We start from the raw sequence: 23,707 nt of genomic DNA, 5'->3' as shown, positions 1-23,707 counted from the left end.
GCATTTAGGTCGATTCATGTCTTTGCTATCACGAATAGTGCTGCAATGAACATTCACGTGCATGTGTCTTTATGGTAGAAAGATTTACATTCCTCTGGGTATATACCCTGTAATGGGACTGCTGGGTGGAATGGTAGTTCTGCTTTTAGCTCTTTGAGGTACTGCCACACTGCTTTCCACAATGGCTGAACTAATTTATACTCTCACCAACAGTATATAAGTATTCTTGTCTTCTCTGCAAGCTCATCAGCGTCTTATAACAATTATTCTGTGCATTCAAGAGTTTACAAATGAAATAGGTCAATCTGACTTTCAAATATCTGGCTTGGGGTATGTGCTATATATATATAAAGGTCATTTTTCACCTGGAAAATGGAATAAAATCCATAAAATCCTGCTCTCTCTAATGCTGGATGGAAAAACAAGACAGAAGAATTATCCAAAATATTATGTTAGATACGAGTTATCCCAACTAAGCTAAAACTATCTTTTGCTAAATGCTTTAATCATTGTATCCCTTGTTCTGCTCATGATCAAGCTCCTCTGAGTTTTACTATCTCTAACTTTCATTTGATCTGTGCTATATCCATAGCTCCTTATATATCAAGTTCAAGTGAGATTATACTCCCATCCACTATCACAGAGGAAAAAAAGAGTTCTCGATTCTTTTAGATTGTATATTTGTATGACTGCTTTCACTGCTAAGCTTCCACGCAAAACAAAAATCTGATGCTACTGATAGTGACTGAATATGTGTTATGAAAAAGAGTAGTATTAAACTTTTTCAGTATTTGAATATTTTTTCTTCCAATCTTGGAGTAAGGACAAGACAGTATTTTTAAATCCTTTTCCCAACTTTAATTTCTATGTTACTTTACCCTTGACATTCATAATGTAAATATTTAAAATTTTGAACAATTTAAAATATTTTGAGGTAGTTATTATCTCCCCATAATGATGTGATGAGGGATTTTTACATTTCTCCTAAAAATATTATCATATTAAAGGTATTTCTTGCAATGTATACTGTAGAATTCTTCACTCATCTCTCACAAGGCTAACAGTAACAATAACTTGCTGAATGAAACTTAGTTCAACAAAAAGGGGCCACAGTTTTTCATCACTTAAACTTTGAAAGACAGGATATAATCTAGTATGTGGCAGACAAACCTGCAAGTGACCTTACAATAAAGAGAAACATGGAGATACTATATCTTGATAATATTTGATTGGCATATAAAAAGTATTTAATATATATCTATTAAATGAAACTGTAGGTAAAATTATGGCTTGTTTCCTACATTTAAAATAAGACACACTTAGCGAAGCAGAGGGTATTTTAGGTAATTGTGTGATTTGCCACAAAAATGTCAAAAGTACAGAAAACAACCAAATATTTTTATATAGGTGATATAGACATTTACATTAAATAGAAAAATATTAATTCAAGATTTTACAAATAAAATGAGAGGTCCCTTTGAAAAATGTTACTAATAGCACACATTTTTTTCAGACAGGGTCTTGCTCTGAGTGCAGTGGTGCAATCATGGCTCACTGCAGCCTCAACCTCCCTGGCTCAAGCAATCCTCCTGCCTCAGCCTCCCAAGTAGCTGGGACTACAGACGTGCACCACCACGCTTGGCTAATTTTTTAATTTTTTGTAGAGACAGGGTCTCACTATGTTACCCAGGCTGGTTTCAAGCTCCTGAGCTCAAGTGATCCTCCTGCCTCAACCTCCCAAAGTGCTGTCATTACAGGTGTGAACCACTGGGCCCAGCCTACCACATGTTTATTGAACACTCAGTATGTGCCAGGCATTGATTCATTTCATCCATATGATAGTCCAGTGATAAGCATTATTATTACTCTCATTTTGCAGATGAAGAAACTATGGCACAGTAACTCAGGTGGTATGATTTCTGAGTCTACTCTTAAACACAACATAACACTACATTATAACCTGTCTAGGGAACATAAAATTATCTAGATATTATGTTTTGTAATCGTAGGCATAATAATGTTGTTAAATTATATTTCAACAATATTCAAATGCAAATTGATGAATGTCTTAACATAATAGTATTGGACTATTCACCCAGCACACTACATTAAGCCATGTACATTTTTTATAAAATAAGGAAATAGCAGAAATCATTGTTTTAAAAAACTAATAAAGTGAACTAGTAGATGGCTATAGCAAAGGAATAAAAGCAAATGCAGAATAAAGGGAATATCAACAAATGTTTTTGGCATATCTGTCAAGATACGTAATAAGTTTTGATATGACTCCTCTGGATATAAATCTGTTATATTAAAACACCCCAGAAAATCATAAGAATAATTTAAATGTATTATATATATACCCCCCCACTGGGCCAAGTGAAATGAATACTTGCAGATTTTCAAAACTAGTCTACTAGATCATTTTTAAAGAAAAATGGAAATAAATTCAGGTGGTATTAGTTTACTTAAATTAGTAAAGGGCTTCCCCTTCCCCACTTCTAAAAAGAAAAAAAAAACCAGAAAAAAGTGTAAAATTTTGAACAAAAGCAAGACATTTAAAAATTAATGTCAAATTTCCACATATAATCCTTTTAGTTAAGCTACTGCTTGGATTAGCTTCGCATTTTTATTTAGATATACAGAATTTTACTACACTTTATCTGTGTTTCAGATATGTTGCTACATTAGCATAATTGAGACAGCTATCTTTCTAGAACCCCAACATGCAATCATTTTAAGAGGGTGGATTGAAAAATACCTAGCAGAAGTCTACTGAATTGGCCTTAAGGTGATTATACGATTTTAAAATATAAGTCTCAAAATGATTCTTTTGATTAAAGATAGAGAATGGATGAGAAAACAAAAGGTGCTTTATCTTACCTCCTCATTAATATACCAATAAAGGGATGCATCCTTTAGGACAAACCAATATTTTTTCCATTTCTGTGAAAAGTAACTCTTCGCATCTTTCTTTTTCCAAAGCCAGCCCTCACAGTCACCACGGCCAAGATCTTTGCAAGAAATTCGTCTTTTGCTCTTGCCTGCTATAGGACCTAAAGGGTGGAAATGCTCTTTCAATTTTGTCAAAGGTATGAAAGTAGAGGATTAATCTATAGATACCAAAAAGAAGTATGAGTTCTTGAAAATCTTAAAAATTTTTATATTGTATTAGACTAGAAAAATATAAAAATCTTTAATATTTTCCCTCACATAAGTGACACACATCTTAATCAGAAATATGTAACACCACTCTCAAAACTTATTGAGATCATTTGTTGTAAAAGGTACCTTGTATTATAATTGCACTGAAGAAGAAGCTGGCAGCTTTCGCACAAGGGGGTTGTGCTCTTCTAAACCACACTGGGCTCAGGCAAGAAAGAGGGCATGGATGAAGTGTGTTGGGGATTATCAAAGAGCAAAATAAGCAGGTAAAGGTTTCATTTCCTTTTCTTACCTTTGTTTTTCTTCTTTGATTTGTGCTGCAGTGAGGACTGCTGAAATGTCTGAAATCAAAGATAAAAAGAATGTTATCTGATACTCAGGGTGTGATCCAGAGCACCAGCACGCTACACAGAACTCTCAAGAGCTAAATGATGACTCTAAACACTGTTAGGGGAAGAACTTTTTCCCCACAAAGCCTCAAAACAAATTCATATACATCATGTCACTTAACTTTCTAATCTCCTGTGAAGCAGGAAAGGATATTATATTTACCCGTATTTTGTAGGCAGAGAAATCAGGGCACAAAGCATTTGGTAAAACTAAAGGCTTTTACACATACACACTACTTTGTACCTTTTCACGGGTATATTGTGGTTTGCCAGACAGTATCTCATTTGAGTCTCACAAAATCTAATGAAGTAAGCAGGAAAATATGACTATCCTTTGTTCACATGAAGTTCATTCTATTACATAAGCCACCATCACCTACTGTTCTCCTACTTCCTTAGTCCCTACATATTTCAGCACTTGGAACAATATTTTTTTCTCATGCCTACTTCTGTCACTATTATTGGTGACTAATCTTCATGTAGATGATGTCAGCACCCTGGTTCCTCAGTTCTAATAACATTTACTTCCCCACTCCTCAGCTACCTACCCCCATAATCATATGTTTGATATCTAAAGCACACACCAGCCACTGTATCTAATTCATATGGTTTACATAGTCTCTAATACCTTCATGTCATCACTTAAAAAAAAACTTCATTGAGGCATCCAGTTCATTGACCTAACTACCCTCTTGTGCCTGTATTTCTTTCTTTCCTCTTAGTTTCCATGGGATACCATTATAATCGTTCCCTTGACCATGCTCGCTGCATCATACTTGCCAAGCTAAACATCCATCCCAGTTAAACCTACCTGTCTGTTCACTCCATGCTAAGTACCTGAAGAGCTTGATATGTCTAGAGAAAAACCCACAACTATATTGATTGGTCTAACTTTCAATTAATGACTACACATCACTGGCTCCAGTTAGTCTACTAAGCCATATTGTTCACTGGTATAATAAGATTCATTACATTCACATGATCAGCCAGCTAAAAGGGAACAGAGATAGCATGTGTGCTTTTAATTCACAGATATTCCTTCAAAATGAAAATCAGGTTACAGATTCTTCTTTTTCTTTACAAAGATATATCTATAAGGGGCAACTGGATTTTGCTTATATAAAATTTGCTGGTCTTTTTTCACAATAAATTCATGTTTTGTGATACTTTATTATTTAGTATCATTGCTCATTAAATAATATTCTACTTATATAATAATTTTTGTTCTGTATATGATTTATATAAGTCTAATGAACATAGTACTACGGATGTGTATCAGTCCTAAAGATAAGGGTCAGATAATTTGCTGACATACAAAGCTTTCCAGAAATAATCACCTAAGTGTTAAAGCATTATAAATATGTATGTATGTGGTATATGTGTGTGTGTGTACACACATACACACACACATATCAAACTTTGCAGCATGCATGGTTATAGAAATTCACAAATTTTGAGAGAAAGCATAAAAGATAAAACCCATTATGCTGTGTTGATTTTCTTGAATGCACTTTGCTTCAAAATAATAACTCAAATAATAACTCAGGCTAGTGTGCTTAAGTATAGCTCATTTACAGATAGTTATTTTCCCTACATTGTTTCATGGTAAAATTACTGATTGGGGTTTTTTTTCCCTTTGTATTTCTGCAAGTAATCATTATAGTTTTACAGCTCATTATTTTGAAAAATGACAAAGATGGAGGTGGTTTGTTTTTAGAAAGCTACATAGATTACAGACAGCTTGAAAGAACTGGGTTATATAATGTACCTTCTATGCTTTTTGCATGCTATTCTGTAGAACCTGAATGTCTACTCTAAAAATCTACATGAAACATATTTTACACTCTCCAGGTTTTCTTTTTAACAAGATTATCTTTTCTTTTCCTATAAATATATTTCCATAAAGATCATGACTGCAGAGTATAATCAGTGCACTGGAAACCTGAAAACTCCAAGACATTAAATACAGATTTATCCATCATTCAAAGAAGCAAAGCCTTAGATGTCTTTTAAAGATATTATAAATATTAAAATAAAGTTCTCTTAAGAGAGATTTTATTATTTTTCCAATTGACTTGACATTTTCTAAAATGAAAAAGTTAATTGTATTATATGCTTTTGGAAGTAATGGGAAAATCTATTAAAACTATACAGTTAGGTCTCTGTGCAGAAAAGAGTTACTGTAGCAGGCCTGAGGTTGCCATCTTAGAAAGGCCTACTTGCAGTATTTGCCCTCGGTTGGCATCTAGGAACTTGGCTGGTAAACAGTTCCCTATACTGATAAGAAGCTTCCCTAAATGATAAGATTATTTTGCCCACATGGGGCACTGATTATTCACTTGCCTTCTGGAAGTCTGGAATTTTGGTAGTTGCTAGGCAGAGGATGTCTACATGCCCAATTCAATATCCTTGGGTACTGAATCTCTAACGGGCTTCCCTGGACAGAAACACTGCACACATGTGATTGAATTTTAGCTGCTGGGAGGAGAGTATGCTCTGTGTGACCTATCATGGGAGGGAGAGAGCACAGGAAGCCTGCAGATAGATTTTTCTAGATTCCACAGGTGTCTTTTTTCCTTACTGATCTGTCTGTAGGTTCCTGCTGTTTCACTGTTAATAAATCCTAGCTGTGAGTTCAACTATATGTTGAGTCCTATGAGTTCTTCTAGCAAATCACTGAACATGTAGGTGGTCTTGGGGACATCCAAAAGAGCCTCACATTCAAAAAGATCCCTTACAAACTTATATTAGAAACTGTTCATTATTCATAAATAATGGACATAAATAATCTCCAGAAAGGGTTTTCCTTATGTCATCAGCTACAGTGTTAGTAAGCACCCCTGAGGTGCAAATTTATCATCCTGTATCATCTTTTCTAGCAGAACTGATGGAATTATTCATTGTCAGTGACAGAAATTTAATTGGTACATTTTTTCCAGTTTTAAGATTATGCAAATTTAATAAGAGCAAGACATTAAAAACAGACATATGACCGTAATTCATAACACAGCTGATCATATAAGGTGCTACAACAACTAACTGAAAAATGAAAGAGGCCTAGAATCTTTGCATTCGTGGTAAGTGTATTTCTCATGAGGTAAAAATTCATAATATATCTCATTCATGTATATTTCATATTAGCTTCAGATTACCCTTCTTCCAAGTTTATGCTCAAGTAAGTATATTCTTTAGAAGTTCTTTCACAGCAGTCTGTGAGTGGCAAACTCTCCTAGTTTTAATGTTTGAAAATCCTTTCCTCTTGAATAATAGTTTGGCTGGGTATAGAATTCTGAGTTGGGCCTCAGCAATTTGAATGTATTACTTTATTTTCTTTTTGCATCTATTTTTCTTCTCTTAAGCCATCTGTAGTTACACTGTCATTTGCTTGTTTTAATCTGTCTTTAGTTTCTCTGTAGCTTCTAAAATATTTTTCTCTTTATCCCTAATATTCTGCAGTTTCACTATTATGTGTCTAGGTTACAATTTATCTAATTCACTCTATTTGGCAATTTTTGTGTTGTATTGAAAGTGTTATTTAATTCTGAAAATCTCTTCAAATGGTCTTCTTTACTAGCCCCTTTTTAAAACTCTAGACATATGTTGGTACCTCTCAATTTATCTTCCATGTGTCCTTCATGTTCTGTATCCTTTCATATTTCTGCGATGCCTTTTAGGGGAATTCATTTTACTGTCTTCCAATTTCCTAATTCTTTCACTGATTGTATCTAATCTAATCTAAAGTTTATCTTATCGATAGAGTGTTTATTTCATATATTTTACATTTCCAGTGTATCTAGTTGATAGTGGCTCTTTTGAATATCCACTGTTTAACCTTCCTGTTTTTACTTAAAAATGTATTTTAAGGGCTTTTGTGACCTTCTTGTAATTTGCATTTAGTGAAGAAAATCACCTCATTGTTTAGTTTATTGCCTTTTTTAAAAAAGTATTAATTTTCTCTAGACGCTTTGGAATTTTAGCTTGGGTGGAAGGTTCTTCCTGGAGGGATGTTTCTTTTTGCACTCATCCCTCTTAACTAAGCGTCTTGCTGTCTCTGCCTCCATTCCTTGGGACACTAACCAGGCGTTTTAGTGGTGGCAATGGGTTGCAGTTCCATCCATGAAATCCAAGTGGGAGAGGCATGGCCCATGGTTCTGAGTATCTGTTTTTGTTACTTGTAGACACCTAGGAATTCAGTTTTATACAAGTAGCTGTATCTTTATTTATTTCTTAGTAACTGCATCTTTAACCTCCTTACTCATGAATGAGGAAGCTCTGCTTGCCTTCCCAGTTGGTTACACCTCGTGAGTCAATTTTTAGATTTCCGACATAGCTGAGGTCCATTGGTTCTCTGATACTCATTAGAGAAGACTCTCAGGCATCTCTATCTTTTTCTGGACTCGGTGCCTAAGATATGTGGCTTTAGGTCCCAATTATCACTGAGCATTTTTGTTCCTTCTGGTGCCTGGAGATTAGATTTCATTTTTGACCATGACCATATCTTTTATTTCATTTTATTGCTATGTGTTTAGGGTAGGGTGAGTGTGAGGGTGTGTATGTATGTGAATTTAAAGCACAAGCTTGTAACGCTTATTGATCACCAAAAATGGATTTCTCTTGTTAGCATTTTTGAAGTCCAATTCTCTAAAAATTCCCATCTTCATTTTTTCCAAAAACATCATTTATTAAAATCTTTCTAATGCCTTCACTAGCACTTTCTGTTTATTATAGTGAGCATCTGGGTGAAAGTTCTTCGAACTTTCTAAGAATGTTCCATAAATTCTGACCTTTAGCAACTTAAGAATTCATACCACTAGCCAGGACTTCTTCACTGAGCTAAAGCCTGCCTAACTGAGTGGATTTAATATGTACAAAACTGAGCTCATGATATCTATCACTCATCAGCCAAATCTGCTTCTTTCCTACTCTTCTATATCTTATTAAATAGTAATTACATTTTTTTCCTCCCTAGTGGCTCAGGTACAAAACCTTGGAGTCAACTTTAACTCTTTTCCTTCTCTTATACCCCATAGCCAATCCATCAGCAAGTTTTACCAGCTTTGTTTTCACAATGAATGTATTTATAATATGACTTTTTCTCACCAGCTCTATTATTACCACCCTGGTCTAAGCCACCACAATCTCTCACCTGGATTACTGAAATACCCCCTGACAGTTCTCCCTGCTTCTGCTCTTACCCTCTCTAATATATTTATACTATATATATTATGAATTTATACATATATTATATAATATATAAATATATATATTTATATATATTTATCTTGAGACAAGGTCTTGTGTCACCCAGGCTGGAGTGCAGTGGCATGATCTTGGCTCACTGCAACCTCTGCCTCCTGGGCTCAAGTGATCCTCCCACCTTGGCCTTCTGAGTAGCTGGGACTACAGGTACACAGCACCATGCCCAGCTAATTTTTGTATTTTTAGTAGAGATGGGGTTTTACCATGTTGCCCCAGGCTGGTCTCGAACTCCTGGGCTCAAGTGATCTGCTTGCCTTATCCTCCCATAGTGCTGGGATTACAGGTGTGAGCCACTAAGACCAGCCCCCTCTAATTTTTAGCACAAGAGCCAGAGTGATCTGGTTAAAATATGATTTAAATCATGCCATTCCTATATGCAAAACTCATCAATGGTTTCTCATGTCCCTCTGAATAAATGCCTATATCCTTTCAATGACTTGAAGGCCCTACATGATCTGGTCCCCTGTTACCTTTGCCTACTGCTCTCCCCTTGCTAATTTTGTTCCAGCTACCTTTGCTGTTCTTAGATTATGCCAAGTACAGTCCCATCCCAAGACCTTCACCCTTGCTGTTTCTTCTGTCTGAAATGTTTTTTGCCCAGATGTTGTTGTGGCTCACTCCCTTAACTCCTTCAAGTCATTACACAAAGGCTTTCTTTTTAGTAAATTCTACCCAAGCTTCCCTGTCCAAAATTGTTATCCCAATTGCCCTCAATACTTTCTGTTCTTTTTCCCAGCTTTGTTTCCCCTCTGAGCATTTAGCATTATCTTAAGTATTTATATTTCTTGTTTATCACCTGGACTTCCTCCAAATATAAACTCCATTAAAAAAGGGCAATTCTGCCTGTTTTATGTATTGCTTTGTCCTCTGCCTAGAGTAAGACTTAGCACAGTAGGCACTCAATAAATACTGGTTATGTGAATGGATGTTGAACAAACCATCAGCAAAGAATACAGGTTGTAATCTTAATTAGCTGATTGTTGTAACTTGAAGAAGTCTATGAATCCATGTATAATACATTATTGAAAATTCTGTTCTTTAATAGGCCATTCCTTTTGGTAGATAAGAAGAATTTCCTTTTATCCAATCTCCTTCAGCACTACTTGCACTGAGATTGTCTTAGTGCATTTAACAGTTTAAATTTAAATTCACAATATGCCTGGCAAAAGTACATTAAATCTGTGTCAAAAGATATTTATGCTAATAATTATATGAGTTATGAATGAATGTGTTGAAATCATAATTCTTTCCATAAAAATAGAATGTGCTAAAATAAAAGGCTATTATGAAAGTATTTTTGATCTTCTTAACCATGGCGATGCATGCAACAGTATTCTGTTTGGCTATGAAAGATCCCTTTTTCAGACATTTGCCTGAAAAGACCATTTGTCTTTCATTCTGTCCACAGATGTTCTGTTCAAACTTCATTCCCCACTCTTTTGGATGGAGAAGTGTGGGGGCAGGGTAATTTGGGTCATTCTTATCCTCAAATTATCAGAAGCACTTATTTTAATTGTGAAAAAAATCAGTTTCTGTGTTACATTTTGAAAGCTCAGCTACTATTAAATTCTTCTCAAGTTGCAAATTGACACACTTAAGGAAAAATTTGCAATCAAAGTACTCTCTTGTTGCAGTAATAGCAATTTCCTCTTACTGTAATTTTCTGCAAAGTTCCAAGATTTCTTCAGTGACTAGTCAAACCAATAGCTTCTTTCTTATACATAAGAAAAGAAGGTGCTTAACAATTTGAAACACTTTAGATGATAGCTGCTTCCACACTTTTTTTTTAAATAAACAAGTAAAACTCTTTGAGATTTTAAATACTTTACAAAAAATGTTTTCTCTTAACTTTCTAATTATTGTATGTAGGAAGAAAAAAGTAAATATATGGAAATGGGATAGGATGACAATAGAACCAAATATTAAGTCAAAAAATTTCCATTTATAAGAAATAACAGCATAGAACTTAAGTCTGCTGTTGTTGGTGGCCTTGCTCATTCTGGTGCATGAAAGAAAAACTTGGAGTCAATCAGGGTGAAGGATGTGGCACTGCACACACCGTAGGTCTTTCATTAGAGTGGGATGAGGTAGCTCTGGATTCTGTCAGTCAGGTCGACCTGATTTTTTTTAAACTTTTATTTTAGGATCGGGGTACATGTATAACTGAAAATGGCTCCACACTTACTCAAAAATAAGCATGCTTTATAAACCAGTAAATTAGCAGTCAAATAAGAACAAAAAGACAGTAATTGGTAAGAATCTAGAGAAGGTCAGTCAAACTACAACTACTTAGGTTGGGCAGAGTTAATGTTCCATCAAAAAGAATGTCATATGTATCAGATTCTGAAGGAAGGATGTGATTGACTCTCATGCAGGATCCCATAAGGTGAGTCCTCCTGTTCCTACACAGTGGTAATGTAGGAAGAAGGGAAGTGATTACTTGGAAAATATTCAGGAAGGCTAACATGAATCAATACCCTTGGGAAATAAGAACTGCCATCCTTAGCTCAAAATAATAATCATTTACTGAGGGCTTATTATGTGTCAGGCACAATATTAAGCACTTACAAGTGTTTATAAGTGATGTAATTGATCCATTTTAATCCTTATAATACATATGTAAAGTGGTTATCATTAACCCCATTTTAAGAAAGAGGAAACTGAGACCCAGAATGCATAAATAAGTTGCTCAGGATCACACAGGTAGGGGTAGAGTCAAAATTCAAAGCCAGGTCTGTCAACCCCAAAACCTATACTCCTACTACATGCATTACTGCCTCCCAAGTAAGTATTATGTAGTCATAGTAACAATTAAAGAGAGAGAAAAAGTGCTTCTGGCACTAAGACATCCATTTATGAAAACATCTCATGACAGGTGATGCAAGTACATTGCTATGTGAAGAGAAAGGATTCTCCAAAACAGAAAGATTATCAGTGAGAAAAACACTTTTATATCAATGGAGATAATTCAAACCAATAACATCTCATCAATCTCTAATTTTCATGCTTTCTCAATTTTATTTTAATTAGCAAGTTATATTGCTCTGTAGGTTATAAAAGAAGATTTACAGGAGTTTCTGGGCAACCGCTTATAATAACATCTGCATGAAAGGAAGGCTCATGGTAACATCTTAATTTTGCAATTGAGACAGAAATTAAGGTACGATAATATTATAAGGCCCAGCCTAAGTAGACAGAGATGGGACTGCAATTACATTTCAGTACAAGCCTATTAACAGAACTCAGTTCAATTAGAAAACCCTGTGTCAATACTGATGAGAAAATCATGGATCCAGCCTGCCTTTTGACTAATTCTTTACTCTCTTGAGCTGATTCATTGTGTTATGCCATTTTCCACCCAAAACACTCCTCAATACTACGCAATGCTTTGGAATTACTTGGCTCACTTTCTGAAGGAATGGTTTTTACCTACTATATTAGTTCTATGAAGGCAGAAACCATTTGTTTAGGTCACCACTCTATACTCAGCTCCTAGCACAGGATGCGACATACAATTATCTGTTGAAGGCATGAATTGAATAGTTACTCACCACCTATGTGTGGGACACTGAGGTATGGGCTATGATTCATGGCTTCTCATATGCAATCTGTCAGCGCATCCTGTCCAGTTACCTTCAAAACATATCCAGAGTCCAACCCCTTTTCACCACTTCCACTTTAACACCCAGGGTTAAGTCACTCTCATCTCTCACTTGAATTGACCAGATCCTATCTTGTCTCCCCGCTTCCACACTTACCCTTGGCCCCTTCAGTCTATTTTCAACAAATCAGTTGGAGTGATACACTTAGAATGCTCATTTCTCAGCAAGAAAGGAACACACATTACCAATGAAGCAACACCATGGTAGGAATCAGGAGACCTGACTTTCAGTTCATATTTCAGTCTATATTCCAGCTCTATGACTTTGATCAAGCTACTGGACTACTCTTGACCTCAATTTCCTCAACTGCGAAATCAGGGATTTGGACCACATGTTCTTAGTATGTCTCATAGAACAATAACTTTCCAGGATCATAATTTAAAAATGAATGGAAAACCAGTTAATGATCACCAATGGAGACCTAATTATTGATGTTTTAGGAAATATTATATGTATACCTGTAATCAGTGTCAGTCTTAACACTGAATGCTAGATTATTCATTGAAAAGCACTTAGTTTATGTTTGAATTCCACCATGTATGGAAATAACTTATCACCAGCCATATTAGATACAGCTATTTTGGGGTGCCTGATTGATGTGTACAATTAACATAGATTTGCACTTGAGACAGAGGCAGCAAGTTCTAACAGGTGAAAAGCAGAACTAGGGCAGCTCCTACTCCTGACACTTCTGTTTGACAGAAACCGTTGAAATTTAGGTGTCAGAGAAATAAGAGTAGATTTGCCTGTCTTTTGTGACAAAGAAATGTTTATAACCAGAAAAAATGGAGAGGACCAGATTTGCTACCTGCAGGCTAATGAATGACAAGGAAATAAACTATGTGTAAAAGAAATAGAGGAATAAATAATATAGAAAGAATCACCTCTAACAGAGATGCATGAAACCCAAGAATCTCAAATGAAGTCACAATTATGGTATGATTGATGATTCTGTCAGCAATGATGTGACTGAATCATATTTACTGAAAAACTTTTCTGGTTGTGGACTTAATGGTTTTATTTGTAAAAGAATCTGAAATCAAAGTTTTTTTCTGATTACTTTAACTTTATTTTTAGGTTGATTTCTCTGATATAATGTACATATTTCTCATTATGAAAGTCTGTGTCAGTATAATTTGTTCCAAGAATGCTAGCTTTTATCTAAATATCTTTATCATATTAATACTACGTTTCTGTTAAACTCTTATTCTGATATTTTTGCTCTTATATAATAGACAAGCTCTCCAACACAACTACTTCAGATGTTTCTACATCTGGTAGTTTTAATAGAGTTTTCTTGATTTAGAGACTTTTTTCATAACAGAAATATTTTTCAAAGAGTACTGTATAAAAATAGAATTTTAAAAAGTATCAAAAGTCACTATATGCAATTTATTTTATAAAATAATTGAGATATATAATTCAGACTGTTCCTTTTAATACTGAACTATATAGTAAAACATGATTTTAAGACTAAAAAAAGGAAAATTGGTTTTATCTAACAGAAGGGAAAAAAGAACTTGATGGGGAGATATTTTAACTTCTGCGCTTGCAGCAGGAATCAAATCATCATTATGCTGTCAATTTAGATGGCATTTTTCATAGTCCTCTCTGCAGTGCTACACTTGTCTTGTAAATGAGAAAACTGAGTAAAAGAAAGGAGGCAACTTACGCAATCTCAGTATAAAAAATTAAATTTCTGGAGGGCTTGATATTTGCTGCCACTTCTTCAGAACTGGTTACCTCAAATGCACCTAGATTACATTTTGCTTGTTCTCAGCCCACTGGTGAGGACATTTTGGTAGTACTGTTGGAGGAAGGGTATACTATTTGTGCACTATCATAGTGCCAGACACTGAATCAGATCTTTACATATACTGTCACCACACAGAGCCAAAGCTTTTACCCAATTATAAAAATATATATGATGGAAGGTACAAAGAAATAGAAAATACAATATCAAAAAACATTTTATAGCAAATGAAGAAGTGTATTTCATATGGCTGTTTCTTGTAATAACCATATGATAAAAATTGAGGACATTATTTTAAAATGCAACTAAGTGAAGAAGATTCAACATTTGGCTAAGATGTATTTCTCAGTATATGCTTTGGTAAATTAAAGAAGTAGGTTGTGGAGATGGTACTCTCATAGAGGTAGGCTACACTCTTGAATCCACTCTAGATTTATGATAATTTATGATTTTTATTTTACCACTGAACCTCATACATACTCCCAGTAGAGAATTTTCAAAGCAGGTTTTACACAGTAAACACTGATAATGGCCACAGAGAAGGAAACCTCAGTTTGGTAGTTTCCTATTGCATCAATTTAGCTAAGCTGGAAGGAACTATGTGTTTTAGAATTCTTTTGTCTATATGGTTCTAGTTTAGGGTTGGCCACTACGTAAATTTGTGTCAGTTTTGGAGAATACAAGTAAAGCAGCAGCTCTTTTGCTCCGAAGGTCAGGGCAGGGTGTCAGTCACTGCTGCAGCTGATACACATTGTTTTACTTTTCTGTTGGCTTGCCTTACTGGTGTGAGTCAGCAGCCAGGTCTACAACTCCTTCAGCTCCAATCGGATCTCCTCCTTCAGCACCTGAGTATGGGACCATGAATCTGTGAATCTCCATGGAGAAGGGTACCAGCTTCTTGTTGAAGTTGGAGGAAATGCTCTGGTTTGTGCTCATGGGTTCTAGTTTGTCTTGTTCTTCCTCACTTCATGTCTAGATTTTCTTCCCAACCACTGGCTCTGCTGAGGCATCTTTGCCAGCTCCTCAACTGAATAAGATCTAGTCCTTTATTCCATGCCACTTAGAGATTCTAGTTCCCTGGTTGTACTTCAATGGATATACTCATTAATGCCCAAAAGAAGTGCATTCTGTTTTAGTCCTAGAAGGCTTCCTGATTTGCTCATCAGAAGATAAATTCCCTTACATGCAGAGTAACTAATTTTCTTTCTATATGGAGTTAAGAATAGCTAGTATGTGCTCAGCACAGTGGAAATAATTTTATATACAACGTGTGATTTAATTCTGAAAAAAAAAAAAAAAACAGGTAAGTAGTCTTATCCTCTTTTTACCTATGAGAAACTGAGGTTCAGAAATGTGCCTAGCTTTTTATAGCTGATTTAAGTATATAGCTGACCTATATAGCTATATATATTTAAATATATAGCTGACCTATAGCTGAATTTTAAAAAAGGCAATTCTCTTCTTAATGCTGAACTCTTATCTGGAGACTATCAGACACAAGAACCATTATGTCTTGGGACCACTCTAGATTTATGAAAATAAAAGAAACCATGGGAAGACAACTTATTCTCCTGTTTACTATGGCAGGAAAGTTTACACTAATTTACCTAAAATCAGTCACATATAAAGAACATGGGTTTGAAACATTGATCTATTTCTCAGCATTCCAAGTTGTTTTGGATTGAAGTCTATTAGGATCCTGTTCCTAAATTACCCTGGTATTTGTAGAAATGTTAAGAGACAGATTTAGCAGTATCATTTAGAACTGAGACTCTAGGTTGAGCTTATGCACTTTGGTCCATTGCCAATTGCTGTCAGAGTCAAAACTAGTGAAAAATCCATAATGGCTGCAAACAATTTAACATAGTTCTTAGAAAATTTATCTTTAAAAAACTAGAATCTAACAGTAATAAATTATTGTACCTTAATATCATTTATTAAGAGGAAACTTTGGATAATTTTAGTACATACAGCAAATCATTATACCCATAGTTTTGTGGAGGCTGAGAGTGCTGAAACCATCAAGGGAGTAATATTAATATATTGTGGGAGTTAAGTGAAGAAAATAATTTGGTACAGGTTATGACCTTCAATCAGAATAGGCTTTAAAGAATTCTAGGGGTAAGATAATTCTACCTACAGTTTTATTAAACTTGAGATGTCTGATTAAATGAGTTATGGTGGCAAGGTAATACGAGTAGGGTGATTATGGGAGCAAAAAAAAAGCCAATTGCCTACAAAATTTGAGGACATTTTCTGAGGCTATAAAGCTAGGAGACAAACGTCTACAACATAAAAGGGAATGGGGCTTCTTTACGCTCTCTGATCAAAGCAACTAAAGGCAGGTATGTCCCCAAATAGTTTTTAATTACTGAACTTACCAACCAAGCCAAGGGCCTGTTATTAGAATTTGTGTATTTTTTTTCCCTAAAGGCAAAAAGGAATTAAAAATAAGACTTAAATTTAATAAATTTATAATTCAATTCTTCTGCATCATGTTTTACATGGTGCATCACTAATTGAGCCAAATTTTGTGTTTTGCTTCCTGGCAGTCATTTTCTACCCAGGAAGTAGCAGACTGAGACCCACATTTGTTCAAATGTGAAGCTGAAAGGGCTGGCTTCAGTTTATCAGTAATCTGTTTTATACAGGGAGCAAAAATCTTTCTCAAGAGTGAGGGCATATTTGTGAATCTTTTTGTTTGTTTAGTTTTCAAATTTTAAAACTTAAAAATTGAGGAAATAAAAATTTCTAAACATTTAAACAATATTTTCAAAATTAATAAAACTGATGAATTTAATCAGTATCTTAGGAATTCCATTAAGTTACAAGTCTTGTACATCAAATCTCTTATAGGCTTCCAACACTTTAAAAGCAGCGCAGAACATAACAATGAAAGCAAAATTCCTTATTCCCACACTCAATCAATACAAAAATATTAGTACTGTGGTTTTGCTTCTTTTGTTTTAAAGTATTTCTGTATTGATATTTTGGAAATTTTAATAGTTAATTAAATTTCTTTAATAGTTATGTAACTATTCAGATATATTTCATTTTGGGTGAGTTTTGGCAGTTTGTATGTTTTGAGGAATTGGTCCATTTCATCTGAACTGATAAACTTACAGGCACAGAGTTGTATTTCTTTAGTATTCTTTTAATGTCTATGAGGGTTGTAGTGATATCGCCTATTTTATTCTTGATATTGGTCATTTGAGTCTTCTCTCCTTTTTCTCTTTATCAGTCTTGCTAGATGTTCGTCAATTTTTTAAATTAAAAAATCCCATAGCTTTTGGTTTGATTTTACCTATTGTTTCTGTTTTCAACTTCATTGAATTCCATTATCTTTATTAAATCTTCCTTCTGCTTTTTGTTTTGTTCTTTTTCTAATTTCTTGAGGTAGGGGCTGAGATTATTGCCATCTTTCTTCTTTTCTCATGTAAGCATTTAGGGCTATAAATTTCCTCTAAGCATATGCTTTTTATTTTCACTCAGCTTCATTTTCCTTTATACTTCCTTTTAACCTATGGATTATTTAGAAGTATGTTCTTTAATTTCCAAGTGGCTGGAGATTTACTTGTTATCTTTTTGTTACTGATGTCTAGTTTGATTTCATTATAATCAGAGAACATATTTTGTATTATTTCAAGTTCTTTTAAAGCTAAGGTTTGTTTTATGACTGAAGATAACTTCTATTCTGATGAGTATCTCATGCACATTTGAAAATAATGTGTATTCTGCTGTTGTTGGGTGTCAGTTAGAAACTGCTGGTGGACAGTCATTCAGTACTTCTGTACCCTTGCTGGTGTTTTGTTTAGTGGGTCTATGAATTATTGAGAGATGGATGTTGAAGACCCCAACCTTAATTGTAAATCTTTCAATCTGTCCTTCCAGTTCTGGGAGATTTTGCTTCTACTGTTTGAATCTCTGTTATTTGGTGCATACATGTTTAAGATTGTCATGTCTTCTTAGTGAATTGAACCTCTTTATGCCTGTTGTGGTGAAGGAAGAGAAGCATGACTTTTTTCACGGTTTCTGCCTTGAGAAGAGGCAGGTGTTGTTAAAATATTTCTGTCATGTTGGCTAAAGAGAGTCCGTTGGCTAAAGACTGTATTTTGTCGGTGCCTATTGATGTTTTCAGGTTGCAGGCTTTTATAACACCCAGGCCAGGTAATACAGGAGGCAAGTAAAAAAGCCTGGGAACTCACAGCACTTCCTTGGGTCTGGAGGTCTCTAGCCTGTCTGCCTTATTTTTTTGCACCTTTCAGAGTCTTCTGGTAGATGAGTTAATGTATTTTCTCCAGGTAATTTTTGGTTGTGAGTAGCAGGAAAAATAAAATAAAATGTGTGTACTCCATCTTATCTGGGACTGAAAGTTTGTATTTGTGAATCTTTAAATCTTCAAAGAGTAATTCTATTATTAAATCCTCTAGTCTGGCCAGTTCCATTATAAGTACACCAGTTTGCGGTGAATGAGAATATGGGGGGATAGGAGGAGTACCGATAGTTGATTTTTTTTTTAATAAAAAAACCAAACCTTCCTAAATATGAAAGCAAAAAGAACAAATTATATAAATAAGTGAGGAAGTACAAGTGAACTAATTTTTTGTGGACTAGCATTCACCAAAACTGTTTTATATTTATAACCAAGTAAAGCCAATATTGTTTTCTTCTTCTTTTAACCATATATCTGTATCTAGGTAGTGGGTTTCCACAGTTTTTGACTGTGGTTCCCTAAGACAGGCCAACAGATCCCTTGGGTCTATCTCTTTATCTCTACTTTTCAATGGAAAAAATAACTAGGTATACCAATAGACGATTACTCTGTAAGTACTGTTGGGTATGGATGATTCACAGTATCATTCTTGAAAAATTATAGGTAAATATGAATCACTACATATTAGAGGGTAAAGCAAGCAACCTAAAACAAACTAAAATTGATAGTGATGAAGTCTAATGATAACTTATAATGAAAATAAACAGCCACTGAAAACTATAGGTTACTTTTTAAAAAATCCCAATGATGTATCAATAGAGCATTCCTCCTGAAAACCACAGAAAACTGGATCATCTACACTTGTGCTTGTGCGATATGAACATGATTGCACTGTCAGGGCTGCATAGGTACCAGGCTGATATGGTTTGGCTGTGCCCCCACCCAAATCTCATCTTGAGTTGTAGTTCCCATAATTCCCACATACGGTGGGAGGGACCCAGTGGGAGGTAATTGAAGCATGGGGGCAGTTACCTCCATGATGTTCTTGTGATAGTGAGTTCTCATAAGATTTGATGGTTTTCTAAGGGGCTTTCCCCTCCCCTTCACTCTTGGCTGTCACCATGTGAAGAAAGACATATTTGCTTCCCCTTCTGCCATGCTTGTAAGTTTCCTGAGGCCTCCCTAGCCCTGTGGAACTGTGAGTCAATTAAATCTCTTTCCTTTATAATTACCGAGTCCTGGGTATGTCTTTATTAGCAGTGTGAGAATGAACTAATACAGTAAATTGGTACCAGTAGAGTGGGGTGCTGCTATAAGGATACCCAAAAATGCAGAACTGACTTTGGAACTGGGTAACAGGCAGAGGTTGGAACAGTTTAGAAGACTCGGAAGAAGACAGGAAAATGTGGGAAAGTTTGGAACTTCTTAGACACTTGTTGAATGGCTTTGACCAAAATGCTGATAGTGATATGTACAATGAAGTCCAGGCTGAGGTGGTCTCCGATGAAGATGAGAAACTTGTGGGGAACTGGAGCAAAGGTGACTCTTGCTGTGCTTTAGCAAAGAGACTGGTGGCATTTTTCCCCTGCCCTAGAGATCTGTGGAGCTTTGAACTTGAGAGAGATGATTTAGGGTATCTGGTGAAAAAAATTTCTCAGAGCAAAGTGTTCAAGAGGAAGCAGACCATAAAAATTTGGAAAAGTTACAGCCTGACAATGCAGTAGAAAAGAAAAACCCATTTTCTGGGGAGAAATTCAAGCCTGCTGCAGAAATTTGCATGAGTAACAAGGAGCCGAATGTTAATCACCAAAACAATGGGGAAAATGTCTCCAGGTGATGTCAGAGACCTTAATGGCAGCCCCTCATGTCACAAGCTGGGAGGCTTAGGAGGAAAAAATGGTTTTGTGGGCCAGGTCCAGGATCCCTCTGCTGTGTGCAGCCTAGGGACTTGGTGCCCTGCATCCCAGCCACTCCAGTCATGGCTAAAAGGGGCCAAGGTATAGGTTGGGCCATGGCTTCAGAGGGTGCAAGCCCCAAGCCTTGGTAGCTCCCATGTGGTGTTGAGCCTGCATGTGCACAGAAGTCAAGAATTGAGGCTTGGGAACCTCTGCCCATATTTCAGAGGATGTATGGAAATGCCTGGGTGTCTAGGCAGAAGTTTGCTGCAGGGGTGGAGCCCTCATTGAGAACCTCTGCTAGGGCAGTGCAGAAGGGAAATGTGGGTTCAGAGTCCCCACACAAAGTCTCCACTGGGGCACTGCCTAGTAGAGCTATGAGAAGAGGGCCACCATCCTACAGACCCCAGAATGGTAGATCTACCAACAGCTTGCACTGTGCTCCTGGAAAAGCTGCAGGCACTCAATGCCAGTTCATGAAAGCAGTTAGGAGGGGGGCTGTACCCTGCAAAGCCACAGGGGCAGAGTTGCCCAAGGCTGTGGGACCCCACCGCTTGCAACAGTGTGACCTAAATGTGAGACATGGAGTCAAAGGAGATCATTCTGGAGCTTTAAGATTTGACTGCCCTGCTGGATTTCAGACTTGCATGTGGCCTGTTGCCCCTTTGTTTTGGCCAATTTCTCCCATTTGGAATGGTTGTATTTACCTAATGCCTGTGCCCCCATTTTATCTAGGCAGTAACTAACTTGCTTTTGATTCTACAGGGTCTTAGGCAGAAGGGACTTGCCTTGTCTCAGGTAAGACTTTGGACTTGGACTTTTGAGTTAATGCTGGAATGAGTTAAGACTTTGGGGGACTGTTGGGAAGTTCTCTTTTGAAATGTGAGGACATGAAATTTGGGAGGGGCTAAGGGCGTAATGATATGGTTTGGCTGTGTTCCCACCCAAATCTCATCTTGAATTATAGTTCCCACAATCCCCATGTATTATGGGAGGGACCCGGTGGGAGGTAATTGAATCATGGCAGCAGTTACCTCCATGCTGTTCTCATGATTGTGATTTATCATGAGAGCTGATGGCTTTATAAGGGGCTTCCCCTCTCCCGCTTTGCTCTGCGGTTTTCCTTGCTGTCGCCATGTGAAGAAGGATGTGTTTGCTTCCTCTTCTGCCGTGATTGTAAGTTTCCTGAGGCCTCCCCAGTCCTGTGGAACTGTGAGTCAATTAAACCTCTTTCCTTTATAAATTACCCAGTCTTGAGTATGTCCTTATAGCAGTATAAGAATGAACTAAAACACAGGCATACTGAAAAAATACTAAATTAGAATATTCAATAAATTCTATGAATGTATTATTTTATGATTATTCAATTTGTAACCTTTTAAACTCATTTAGTAGGTTACTAGTAAGCAATATCTAGTCACAAGTGAAAATGGAAGTTTGTGATGTGTTATTTGCCCATAAGAATCAAAGAAAGTACTGTCACTTCTGGGTCAGACCTCAGTCATCAGAGCCCTTTGCCAAGGATGGCCCATACTTTGGGAATCACTGCTGTAGGGAAGCAGCCCACTGGGAAATACTTTTCATAGTACAGACTGTTCCCATGTAGGGGTTTGCAAATGCTACTATGAAACATTTTAGAAATAATAAAGTCATCCATAGGAATCAGAGAATATACAAATGAATATGATAATATTTAGTGTACTGTTGTACTCTAACATGTCTAAATGTACCTTGATTGGGAGAAACATCATGTCATTCTGTAATACAGCTGTCTTCTGGGTGAATAAAGTCAAAACGGAGAGAAATTGGTTGTTATAAACAAGTGACGGCTTAGAGGTGGCTTCTTTGCCACTAAAATAACTGATCTCTTCTTTGAATTACTTTTATCCTGAAAGAATGCAGCTAAGTCAGGCAGCCGTTAGACAAACCAACCTTTATAACTGCAGGTAAATTTAATTATGAATGTTTATATGTTAGTAATATCACAGTTTTTCCATTATTGTGATAATAATAGCTCTGTCTTCCCTAATAGATGATAAAATCCTTATGAGCAGATATGGCTTTAGTCACACAAAGGTGTGAATTTTGGAGTCAGGATGCTTGGACTCATTTCTAAACTCTGCTATTTTCTAGCTCTTTAAGGTAAATTCTGTGTTCCAGTTCCTTTCAGTTCTGCAGAATAGAAATAATGATATCAACCTCATAGGATCATTTTGAAGATTCCAAGAGATACTGTATTTAAGTGCTTAGCATTGGAGCTTAGTAAGTAATCAGTAAATGCTAGCTATTAGTAATATTAGCAGTGGAAATATTATAGGGATACCTCCTGTTACTGTGCTTCAATTTATTCTTTGAAGATTGCAATTTTTACAAATGGAAGGTTCTGGCAATCTTGTGCTGAATGAGTCTATTGGTACCATTTTTCCGATAGCATGTGCTCATTTCGTGTCTCTGTATCATATTTTGGTAATTCTCACAATATTTAAAACTTTTTCTTTATTATTATATCTGTTATGGTGATCTGTGATCAGTGATCATTGATGTTACTACTGTAATTATTTTGGGGTGCCATGAACAACAGTACACTAAATAACACATTTGCAATATAGATGAAACAGCCTTATAGTGGAAGATGATGCCATCTAGGACTTTCATAGCTAGAGAGGAGAAGTCAATGCCTGGCTTCAAAGCTTCAAAAGACAGGCTGACACAGAAGAAAACAGAAGAAAGTTTAAGTGGTCTGGATAGAAGATCAAAACCAGCCACAACATTCCCTTACACCAAAGCCTAATCCAGGGCAAGGCCCTAACTCTCTTCAATTCTATGAAGGCTGAGAGAGGTAAGGAAGCTGCAGAAGCAAAGTTGGAAGCTAGCAGAGGTTGGTTTATGAGGATTAAAGAAAGAAGCCATGTAAGACAACAGACTTAATAAATGTTGTGTCTGTTTTTACTGTTCTCCCAATGGGCTGTTCTCCGATCTCTTTTCCTCTCCTCAGGCTTCTCTATTCCCTGAGAAACAACAGTATTAAAATTAGGCCAATTAATTAACCCTACGATGGCCTCTAAGTGTTCAAGTGAAAGGAAGAGTCACACGTCTCTCACTTTAAATCAAAGCTAGAAATGATTAAGCTTAGTGAGGAAGGCATGTCAAAAGCCAAGATATACTGAAAGCAAGGCCTCCAATATAAAAATGATAGGAAAACGAAACAGCCTTATTGCTGATAGGGAGAAAGTTTGAGTGGTCTGGATAGAAGATCAAACCAGCCATAACATTCCCTTAAACCAAAGCCTAATCCAGAGCAAGGCCCTAACTCTCTTCAATTCTATGAAGGATCAGAGAGGTAAGGAAGCTACAGAAGAAAAGCTGGAAGC

At 36.1% G+C, this 23,707-nt stretch overlaps 1 protein-coding gene across 8 annotated transcripts in view; it reads right to left on the bottom strand.

Annotated features, from left to right (window-relative positions):
• CNKSR2 (connector enhancer of kinase suppressor of Ras 2) overlaps positions 1-23,707 on the bottom strand; it is a 280,272-nt gene that overhangs the window by 60,612 nt on the left and 195,953 nt on the right. For all 8 annotated transcript variants that reach the window (NM_014927.5, NM_001168647.3, NM_001330770.2 and 5 more), the window contains 2 exons: positions 3,458-3,506; positions 2,884-3,056 (listed from right to left, as the gene is read on the bottom strand). In NM_014927.5, the coding sequence (NP_055742.2) occupies positions 2,884-3,056; positions 3,458-3,506 (222 nt within the window). The remainder of the gene's footprint in view (positions 1-2,883; positions 3,057-3,457; positions 3,507-23,707) is intronic.

Source organism: Homo sapiens, chromosome X (genome assembly GCF_000001405.40).
Source record: "Homo sapiens chromosome X, GRCh38.p14 Primary Assembly".
Taxonomy (NCBI): Eukaryota; Metazoa; Chordata; class Mammalia; order Primates; family Hominidae; genus Homo; species Homo sapiens.
Note: the sequence above shows the minus strand (reverse complement) of the source record. Positions and strands in the feature narration are given on the sequence as shown.